The sequence below is a fragment of the Homo sapiens genome, chromosome 4 (genome assembly GCF_000001405.40).
Source record: "Homo sapiens chromosome 4, GRCh38.p14 Primary Assembly".
NCBI lineage: Eukaryota > Metazoa > Chordata > Mammalia > Primates > Hominidae > Homo > Homo sapiens.
In genome coordinates, this window is record NC_000004.12 from 112,185,449 (window position 1) to 112,197,061 (window position 11,613).

General features: G+C 37.6%; 1 protein-coding gene across 1 annotated transcript in view; it reads left to right on the top strand.

Moving 5' to 3' along the window:
• Positions 1 to 9,808, top strand: part of FAM241A (family with sequence similarity 241 member A) — a 49,803-nt gene extending 39,995 nt beyond the window's left edge. Inside the window, exon 2 of the mRNA NM_152400.3 lies at positions 1,245 to 9,808. Within this exon, the coding sequence (NP_689613.2) occupies positions 1,245 to 1,490 (246 nt within the window). The 3' untranslated portion in view covers positions 1,491 to 9,808. The remainder of the gene's footprint in view (positions 1 to 1,244) is intronic.
• Positions 9,809 to 11,613: the final 1,805 nt, after the last annotated feature.

Here is an 11,613-nt window from a genome sequence, read left to right on the forward strand (position 1 = left end):
GCTGTGCTTTAACAAGCCCTCCAGCGGATTCTAACGCATGCTAAAGTTTAAAAACCACTGCACTAAAATATCACCAAGACAACCACTCATAGGACTGGGCAGAAAGAAAAAGAGATGGATGGACTTACTGAAACTGAGAAGCTTCAAAAAGGCCCCCATGGAACTGAAATTCAGACTTTTGAGAACAGGTCACTGCTTGCCTGGTACTGATTTCTCTGAGTTCAGAGGAGGGAGCCTATAGACCTGGGAACCAGGTATCTGAGGAAGAAGCACCCAGTAATTGGAGCTGGCATCTCAAGAAGGCACATTGAGATTGGTTCTACAAGTGTTGGAAAACCCCCAAATTGCAATCAGCTGCTACTACTAGCAGGCACTATTGCTGTCGGAGTGAAGAATTGTTGCTAGAGTGAGACTTAACAGGATTAAGAAACCCATCCGAAGGAAACAGCAAATTCCTTCTTCCTTCTCTACCTGTGAAGTGTCACGCTGGTCCCTCTATTGGCAGAGCCTAACAGGGAGACAGAAATGCTTGCAGAATTCCAAAGAGTGGGTTTGAAGCCAAGAGACAGTAGCTTACTGTCATGGCCTTAATTATAATACAAGTGGAAGATAATAGAAATAATACTTTAGGTATGTATAATTGGGTGCATGTAGACATTTTCTGGGATACTAACTACTGGGTAGACATTTGGCCTTATTGTAAAAAAAAAAAATTTGTATTAAAACTATTTGTTTCTCCTGATGAAATTAATAAGAGGCATTTAGGGCATCTATATAATGAACAGGAAACTATGCAAGGGCCTGCGCTGAAGTCTGCTTAGCTGAGCCTAAGACAAAGATCACAGCAGTAGTGGCTGAGGATTGCTCAATAATAACAGCAAACATGCTTTGGTCATCTGAGGCTCGGTTTCTTAACGTCTTAGTGTCAAAGGAACCGTCTAAAAAGAATCTTACCAGGACAGAGCAGTCAGGCCTTGCCTCATAAAACAGGAGGGTGGCAGAAAAGGGTGTTCTGAAATCATGGTCACTCACAAGAGAAATACAAACATGATTCTTCACTTAAGCAGTCATTTTTGTGCAATTCCAGGATCAAAAAGAACATTCCCATTGTGTTAACAGGTACTTGTAGAATAATTATCAGAAGTATGCCCAGCACTTTGGAAGATGAAGAACTAAGGTTCTTAAAGACGTTTACATATTTCTCATGTTATGTTCATGTTTTGTCTTTTTTTTTTTTTTTAAAGGATGTTGAAGACTCACAGAACCACACTGGTGAGCCGGTTGGAGATGACTACAAGAAAATGGGAACACTTTTTGGTGAACTGAACAAAAACCTTATCAACATGGGCTTCACAAGGATGTATTTTGGAGAACGAATAGTGGAACCAGTAATAGTCATTTTCTTTTGGGTTATGCTGTGGTTCCTTGGCCTGCAAGCCCTTGGACTAGTTGCTGTTCTTTGCCTTGTTATTATTTATGTGCAACAGTAAAACATGGCCGAATTGAATTGTTTGACATTTGGTAGCCATATATGTAATTGAAGAAGTTATATATTTCACTTTTTGACAACCGAAAAAGTTTGCCTTGTTTCAAATCATGTGCTGGCTGTTTTGTAAGTAAATTTATACATGGATGTCACTTAAAACTAAACTCTTGATCATAACAGGGTTGAATATATATTTTGAATATACATTAGCTTATTCAAAACTCTTGTTTCACTACTGTGATCTCTGTCTCCTTTATACACCTCTATCCCCATGCCAAATCTTAAGTAACACCACCAGAAAGTGAACAGGGAAAATAACAGGACATGGAATTCAAATCAAGCAATATAGTTCTTATAAAGAGTTCCAATAAAACATTTCAGAAGAAAAAGTATGAAACAAGCTAAAAGTAAGTTTCACTTAGAAAACTTCTCCCCACTCACACTCCCCACCAAATAATCTCATATTATTTGGGAAATATTTGGATTTCAATTGTCCCTACCCAGCCTAAACTAAGGTAAATGATAATTAGCATACACTACCTTAATATTGTGATGAAAATCAGTAAAGATAGAACGTTTTCTAAAGGTCAAAAATAATATATTTATTATTACTGGGGAAAGCTCCCAGGTTAAATATAACTTTTTTAAAATGTAACATTTGGACCTAGACCTACTTTAATATATCATTTGAAGTTTCAGACAATTTTGGTGCTAATTACTTTTTGTGAGTTTTTAAAGTCTCATAGCCTAGTTGACTGCACCCTATGGTAATGCCATATTTTCTTGTATCTAACAAGTTGCATATTTTTTCCTAGAGAGACATTTTCAGTGTATTTTTTTTTAGAAATTTATAATTTTATAGTTCTTTCATAACACTTATTCTGAGTTTTGAAACAATGTATTTCCTATCTTGACATGGATTTTTTCACAAAAAATTTGTATTTTACTGTTGTTTTCAGGAAAAAAATCAGATCATTTTTCTTTGATATCTATATCAGAAAGGTACAATATTAACAGTATAAAACCAAATGCTTAAATTTGGAACTTAGCCAATTTTGATAATCTTTTTCTAAGGCTAAAGTCACATCAGTAATTGGCTAGCCATGTTATTAAGGTGTCTTAATTCAGCATTTTCAGGTTTTATATTGAAATACGCATTTCTTTAAATATTCTTTGAAAATGGAGAATGGCTTTAGTGATATTTTGGGTTTTGTTAGAGAACCTAAAATCTTTACACTTTCATCTCAAAGATTATAAAGGAAAGGGGGGTAGTTAAGATTTAGAATTCAAGTTAAATTTCAGAAATTGGGGCAGTCAGGCATTTGTATCTTTGGTAGGGCAACAAGTAAAACATGTAGAGTGCTTGCTATCCCACTTCATAAAGCTTTTACCCAATCTTATTTCTAAACCTCTGTGCATTCTTAGTGTCTTCTCATTCTGAAACAGAAAATAAGGAAAAACATTTAACTTAGTTTTCTAAAATCAGATAATCCTAAACAAAAATGTTAGTCAGGGTCACTAAAAAGTATTGCACATTTATATAAATACAGTCCTTTTAAAATTTGACTTTTAAAAAACAAAAGACTTTGTACGATATTGTGTTTTTATTGCTTTTGCAATATTTTTATAGTAGCCTTTATGAACTCAGTATAAGTGCAAGTTGTTTGAAAAGGTGTTTTTATTAGTGCACAATAGAATTGTGAGGTTTTCAATAGATGTCATGAGATTTTGTATATCTACATAAAATATCAGTACATTTTTTTCTAATGCTACTGGAAATTTTACTTTTCCTTTGCAACACATAAATGATATGATGTACAAAATAACAGCTCTGGTTCCACCAGTACCTAATGTTGAAAACATTTTTAAAGTAATTTTTAATACTAACTATTTAGTATACTGTCAGTACTGTACATCTGCACACTGGTGTTAATAGGGTATATATTAAATTATATAAAGAAATAAGATATTTTGCTGTTATTCTTTCTACATATATTATTGGTCAGTACATCAAATAATATTTGGCTTTGATATGGGAAAAAACAAACTTTGCCTATGTAATGGAAATAAAATATTTTCTTTTATGAAATATATTAGAATGCAGATTATACTAATATCCTGAAATAAAACTGGTAATTTATTTGGTTCATGGTATAAAGAATTAGATTGGGCCGGGCGCGGTGGCTCACGCCTGTAATCCTAGCACTTTGGGAGGCTGAGGCGGGTGGATCACAAGGTCAGGAGATCGAGACCTTCCTGGCTAACATGGTGAAACCCCATCCCTACTAAAGGTACAAAAAATTAGCCGGGCCTGGTGGCAGGTGCCTGTCGTCCCAGCTACTCAGGAGGCTGAGGCAGGAGAATGGCGTGAACCCGGGAGGCAGAGCTTGCAGTGAGCACTCCAGCACTCTGGGTAACAGAGTGAGACCCCATCTCAAAAAAAAAAAAAAAAAAAAAAAAATTGGATTGAAAATGATTCTCATCATTTCAATCTCAAATACAAGCCAGTTTTAGAAACTGTTATTGCTTATGAATAAAGAAATAGAAGTTACAATGCTAAGGTTATTACATAATGCATACTCATATGGCCAGTAATTCAAAAGAAAAAGGTCGAAGTCTACAAATAAACAGACTGTAGATGAGTAAATCCATTTTTCTTAAAGTAAAAACTCTGTATTTTGTAGAATTCTGTCCTCTCATACCTTAAGCTGTCATGGGCAAGGTATTTTCCCATTCCTGGCTACAGGCAGATCATTCCTAGTCCAGTAGTGTGCTGGAGCAAGCTTGCACTGGCTTACAAGAGCCAACTGTGAACATTTTTTCTGCCTTCAGTGCTGTCAAGTTGGTAGTTTGAAATTGGCCATGGTGAGAGTATTTACACCAAAAAAATTAGTAAACACTGCAAATCAGATCTTTTTTTTTTTTTTTTCCTTGAAAGCCAGCTGTTAAACATACATCAGCACACCCTAGAGGCCACATTCCCATTTCTATTCCTACAGATACGAAAGTAAAGAACAGAACACATTTTGTGAAATAAAAGAAAGCATATGAGGTAAATCCCCATCGACCCACCCAAAACTGAATCTGGCTCTTTCCCTTGTGGGTATTATGGTTCATGGTTATCTTCTGACCAACAAATCTCTATTTAATCATGTTTTGACCACAGAAAATCTCTCTAGGCTGTCACCAAGCTGTAAATCCACTAAAGACTATCCAGGCAATCAGGAAAGGCAAAACTTACAGAATGATAGAGGAAAAATTACAGTATAAGTAAAGGTCTGTTGTAATATAGAAAGCTCAAAATAGTCAAAGCCAGGTTTGGAGCAATCAAAGGCTATTCGTGTGGTTCATAGATTGTTTTAATAGTTATTTTACAAATGTTTATTAATTTCAGGTGTTTAAAATGCTTTCATTACCAATTTATGGCTTTACAATTGAAGGGAGAAAAAAAAATGTAAGACGGCCAGGCGCGGTGGCTCATCCCTATAAAAGTGCTGGGACAGCACTTTGGGAGGCCGAAGCGGGCGGATCACCTGAGGTCGGGAGTTCGAGACTAGCCTGACCAACATGGAGAAACCCCGTCTCTACTAAAAAAAAAAAAAAAAAAATACAAAATTAGCTAGGCGTGGTGGTGCATGCCTGTAATCTCAGCTACTCAGGAGGCTGAGGCAGGAGAGTCGCTTGAACCCGGAAGCCAAAGTTTGCAGTGAGCCAAGATTATGCCCTTGCACTCAATCTGGGCAACAAGAGCGAAACTCCATCTCAAAAAAAAAAAAAAAAGACTTTCATGCCTGGTAATAGAGTTGGCCGAGAAGAATATAAACTTATTTACAAACTATGACTTCAGGAGTATTGGTGGATTAGAGGTCATTTGCAACTCTTGTCTCTCTGCCCAACATTTAATTTTTGGTATGCGTTGGAGTTCAGTCCAACAGCCTGCTCTCACATCACTCCACACAGCAGCTCGGCAATGTCACCACTCCCGTGGCTGCAGAGTTACCATTTGCATCCTAACAGCTCCCCAATTTGCATCTCTAGATCAGAGCACTGTACAGAATTTAAGACTCCTACATTCAATTGCTTGCCCAATATTTATTTGCATTTGGTTATCCCATAGTACCCAAGACTCAGCGTGTCCAAACGAGCGCAGCATCCTTCTCCCAAATCTTTAATTCCTGTTTCCCATCTCAGCAAATGACACAATCCTTTCCCTAACTGCTCAAGCAGGAGTTGTAGATGACATCCTTGACTCTGTGTTTCCTACACTACCTACATGTAACCAAGTACCAAATCTATTTTACTTCTAAAAATATAATCTTTCTACTTCTATTCATTCCTAGCATCACTGAGTCCATTCTGCCATCATCTCACCTGGCATGCTGAGAATCCTGATTAGCCTCCCTACCTTCATTTTCCACTTTGTAGTTACAGATCTTTCTAAAGAATTATTCTAACATGATTCTGATATCCTTGACCTAAATCTTTTCAATGGCTTTCTGTTTTCGTTATGATAAAGTCCTTATGCCTTAATATGTTTTACAAGGCTCTTCATGTACTGGTTCTTGCGTACCTCATCTCTCTATACTGCCACTCTCCATTTCCAGGATTCAACTATACTGAACTTTTCCCCAGTTCCTTTAAAGAGACATGCTTTCTTACTTCCAGAACTTTGTACATGCTTTACTTCTTTAACTGCTCCCTACCAGACTGACCAATATCTACACAGCCTTAAGACCTCAAGTGAGACATCATGTCCTCCAGGGAAACTTCTCTGACTCCTTTAAATCCAGTTTTGGTTCTTCATTATGGCTTGGTTTCTCAAGTGCAACCCTGTGCTTTCCAGGTCAGCACTTCTCATGCTATATTGCAATAGCTTATTTGTCAGCTGCTGCTTTAATAATTGATTAATTATTAAATTAATCAATAGGCTTCACAAGGGAAGAGAACATGTCTGTCATTCTATAATTGCATTGCTAGTGCCTAACACAATGCCTGGGACATAATAGGCCATCAAAATATTTATCAAGTAAACCCACTTCATCTACTCATGGTCTTCATATAGACCACTAACAAAAAAGATCTAGAGCTGGTTGTACTTTGAAGTTCTTTGACTCCAAAAGTATACTTACTGTGCACAAAGAGCATGGGTTGATGTATACATTATAATTTATAAAGCTATTCACTTCTGATAAAAGAATACTGCTGTTATTTGGATACATACACAGTATTTCCACTATACACTTGTGTATTTTAGGAGAAAATGTATTTTCAATGTTTGGTTGATTCACTATTTTTCCAAAAAGGATATTTTACAATACCTACGGTCACTGATACTACCAGAACTTCACTTTTGTTCAGTATTTTTTAATAGACCTTTATTTACTACATTTTAATTTTTTAATTTTTTTCTTTTATTTTATTGTTATTATACTTTAAGTTTTAGGGTACATGTGTACAATGTGCAGGTTAGTTACATATGTATACATGTGCCATGCTAGTGTGCTGCACCCATTAACTCGTCATTTAGCATTAGGTATATCTCCTAATGCTATCCCTCTCCCCTCCCCCCACCCCACAACAGTCCCCAGAGTGTGATGTTCCCCTTCCTGTGTCCATGTGTTCTCATTGTTCAATTCCCATCTATGAGTGAGAACATGTGGTGTTTGGTTTTTTGTCCTTGCGATAGTTTACTGAGAATGATGATTTCCAATTTCATCCATGTCCCTACAAAGGACATGAACTCATCCTTTTTTATGGCTGCATAGTATTCCATGGTGTATATGTGCCACATTTTCTTAATCCAGTCTATCATTGTTGGACATTTGGGTTGGTTCCAAGTCTTTGCTATTGTGAATAGTGCTGCAATAAACATACGTGTGCATGTGTCTTTATAGCAGCATGATTTATAGTCCTTTGAGTATATACCCAGTAATGGGATGGCTGGGTCAAATGGTATTTCTAGTTCTAGATTCCTGAGGAATCGCCACACTGACTTCCACAATGGTTGAACTAGTTTACAGTCCCACCAACAGTGTAAAAGTGTTCCTATTTCTCCACATCCTCTCCAGCACCTGTTGTTTCCTGACTTTTTAATGATCGCCATTCTAACTGGTGTGAGATGGTATCTCATTGTGGTTTTGATTTGCATTTCTCTGATGGTCAGTGATGGTGAGCATTTTTTCATGTGTTTTTTGGCTGCATAAATGTCTTCTTTTGAGAAGTGTCTGTTCATGTCCTTTGCCCACTTTTTGATGGGGTTGTTTGTTTTTTTCTTGTAAATTTGTTTGAGTTCATTGTAGATTCTGGATATTAGCCCTTTGTCAGATGAGTAGGTTGCGAAAATTTTCTGCCATTTTGTAAGTTGCCTGTTCACTCTGATGGTAGTTTCTTTTGCTGTGCAGAAGCTCTTGAGTTGAATTAGATCCCATTTGTCAATTTTGTCTTTTGTTGCCATTGCTTTTGGTGTTTTAGACATGAAGTCCTTGCCCATGCCTATGTCCTGAATGGTAATGCCTAGGTTTTCTTCTAGGGTTTTTATGGTTTTAGGTCTGACATGTAAGTCTTTAATCCATCTTGAAATAATTTTTGTATAAGGTGTAAGGAAGGGATCCAGTTTCAGCTTTCTACATATGGCTAGCCAGTTTTCCCAGCACCATTTATTCAATAGGGAATCCTTTCCCCATTGCTTGTTTTTCTCAGGTTTGTCAAAGATCAGATAGCTGTAGACATGCGGCGTTATTTCTGAGGGCTCTTTTGTGTTCCATTGATCTATATCTCTGTTTTGGTACCAGTACCATGCTGTTTTGGTTATTGTAGCCTTGTAGTATAGTTTGAAGTCAGGTAGCATGATGCCTCCAGCTTTGTTCTTTTGGCTTAGGATTGACTTGGCGATGCGGGCTCTTTTTTGGTTCCATATGAACTTTAAAGTAGTTTTTTCCAATTCTGTGAAGAAAGTCATTGGTAGCTTGATGGGGATGGCATTGAATCTATAAATTACCTTGGGCAGTATGGCCATTTTCACGATATTGATTCTTCCTATCCATGAGCATGGAATGTTCTTCCATTTGTTTGTATCCTCTTTTATTTCATTGAGCAGTGGTTTGTAGTTCTCCTTGAAGAGGTCCTTCACGTCCCTTGTAAGTTGGATTCCTAGGTATTTTGTTCTCTTTGAAGCAATTGTGAATGGGAGTTCACTCATGATTTGGCTCTCTGTTTGTCTGTTATTGGTGTATAAGAATGCTTGTGATTTTTGTACATTGATTTTGTATCCTGAGACTTTGCTGAAGTTGCTTATCAGCTTAAGGAGATTTTGGGCTGAGACAATGGGGTTTTCTAGATATACAATCATGTCATCTGCAAACAGGGACAATTTGACTTCCTCTTTTCCTAATTGAATACTTTTTACTTCCTTCTCCTGCCTAATTGCCCTGGCCAGAACTTCCAACACTATGTTGAATAGGAGTGGTGAGAGAGGGCATCCCTGTCTTGTGCCAGTTTTCAAAGGGAATGCTTCCAGTTTTTGCCCATTCAGTATGATATTGGCTGTGGGTTTGTCATAGATAGCTCTTATTATTTTGAGATACGTCCCATCAATACCTGATTTATTGAGAGTTTTTAGCATGAAGCGTTGTTGAATTTTGTCAAAGGCCTTTTCTGCATCTATTGAGATAATCATGTGGTTTTTGTCTTTGGTTCTGTTTATATGCTGGATTACATTGATTGATTTGCGTATATTGAACCAGCCTTGCATCCCAGGGATGAAGCCCACTTGAACATGGTGGATAAGCTTTTTGATGTGCTGCTGGATTTGGTTCGCCAGTATTTTATTGAGGATTTTTATTTTTAATTTTTTGTTTTGTTTTTTGAGGCGAAGTCTCGCTCCGTTGCCAGGCTGGAGGGCAGTGGCACGATCTCGACTCACTGCAACCTCCGCCTCCCAGGTTTAAGCAATTCTCCTGTCTCAGCAGGAGTGGTTGGGATTACAGGCACATGCTGGCATGCCTGTATTTTTGTATTTTTAGTAGAGACGGGGTTTCACCATGTTGGCCAGGATGGTCTCAATCGCTTGACCTCATGATCCGCCCGCCTCGGCCTCCCAAAGTGCTGGGATTACAGGCGTGAGCCACTGCACCCGGCCTACATTTTAATTTTTACAAAAAACTCTTAAACTTTTTTGTGAGCAGAAATTCTCAAGTATCGAAGCGTGGTGTTTTAGGCTCCAGAAGAAATCCACTATTACAGTGTCCTAGTAGCCCAGACATATGTGTTAAATGACATGTATATACTTTGTTATTCTTTCTAATAAATAATACTCTTTTACAACTCTGCCTTCTGAGTGTCTCTTCCAACTCCCTATCACATGTTCTACTTACCAGTTAATGGCTGCCACATCCAGTTTGGAATGACCAAAGCAACAACAAACATCTGAGGGTGAACAGAGGTTATCTTTTTTCCTTATCCCTATTGCTGGAACAGAATGCCAAGACATGACATGTATGGCTTCCCAGGAAAGGAGAAGTGGGAAAACCAAGATCAAGACCAACCTCTGCCTCCAAGCTGTATTTTTCTTCTTTCTGTTGGCTTGACTATTGTGTAAGTTAGAATTATCGAATAAACTCTGCAGAAGCCTGCTAGCGATCCAAAACATATTTATGTTTATTAAATTTGAGTTATCTTTTCAGCAATTAAAGTTTATCATTTAATCTTTAATTGACTTAGTTGGAAATTTCTTTGCCAGTTTTCCAAAACACCATAGAATACAGTAACTTGTATCATAAAACCATGGACCTTTTTTGCTATTGGTTTCCCCCAGTATTATAAGAGGCTAGTTTATAGTCTATTTTTAATGTGAGGTGTTTAACGTAAGAAAATTTTATATACAATGTACTTATTAATACCACAGTTAAGACAAACACTTTAAAAGATTTTTCTGGGAGTAGCAGGATATGTAATGACATTATCCATATTTGAAAATATGTACCATCTACTGAATGCCCTTCTCTGGTCTGTCATGATTGTTTCTGTTAATGTTTTCCTCATTTTTTAGGTATAAAATTCTAAAAATAGTCATGATTAGTTTTTCCATGAGGCCACAGCACCAGGTAGCCACAGCAGGCTACTTCTGAAGGACCCTAAGTCATAATTTTTTAATATATTTTCTGTTTTAAAGGGCACAAGAGTTATGTATGTAAACAGAACATATAAATAAAGGTTAAGAAGAAACAGGTACAAAAGGAAAACACCCTCCCTGGGTATTACTTTGGAGAGATGAACCTAAATAAATTCATCTTTCACAAAACTCTAATGATGATTTTTCATATGAGGTGAAGCATTTGTTTAATAGACCAGTGGTTTTTAAAGATTTTTAAATTTAGTTTACATAAAATCTTACACAAATATCACATATAGGATACCTAAATATCATTTATATGATAAAAGAGCTGCTATGATTGATTTTACTGTAGGTCAAAGTTCCCTGGGAAGCAGACTTGGAAGAAATTAGCATGCAGAAAGTATACTAGAGAGTGCTCTGGGATTGGCACCTGTAAGGGAAGTAAAAGATGCAAGACTGGACAGAGGGGGTTAAGCAATACGGTCACAACAGGGCCACAACTCTATGGGGTGCTTTGAAGCTAGGATGGTCCTTTAGAGTTGTTTCATGGTGAGAGAAGACAGCTCTCTCCTGCAAAAAGCAATTCCCAGGGAGAGCTGACAGCTGGGGATTATCAAGCAGCACTCCCAGCAGCTATCAAAATAAATCCTTTGGTTCTGAAGGGAGGATTTGAGCAGCAAAATGTAGCATCTACTATAGAGTCCATTCTTTTCTTATCTTGTCCTCCATGGTACCTCAGTCACTTTCAAAAACCTTAGTCTTCAGAGTACCATACAAAAATCACTGATTTAAATCATAAACTCATTGACTAAGATGGCTTAAAAATTGGGGGAATACTGGCCGGGCGCAGTGGCTCAGGCCTGTAATCCCAGCACTTTGGGAGGCCGAGGCGGGTGGATCACGAGGTCAGGAGATCGAGACCATCCTGGCTAACACGGTGAAACCCCGTCTCTACTAAAAATACAAAAAATTAGCCGGGCCTGGTGGCGGGCCTCTGTAGTCCCAGCCACTCGGG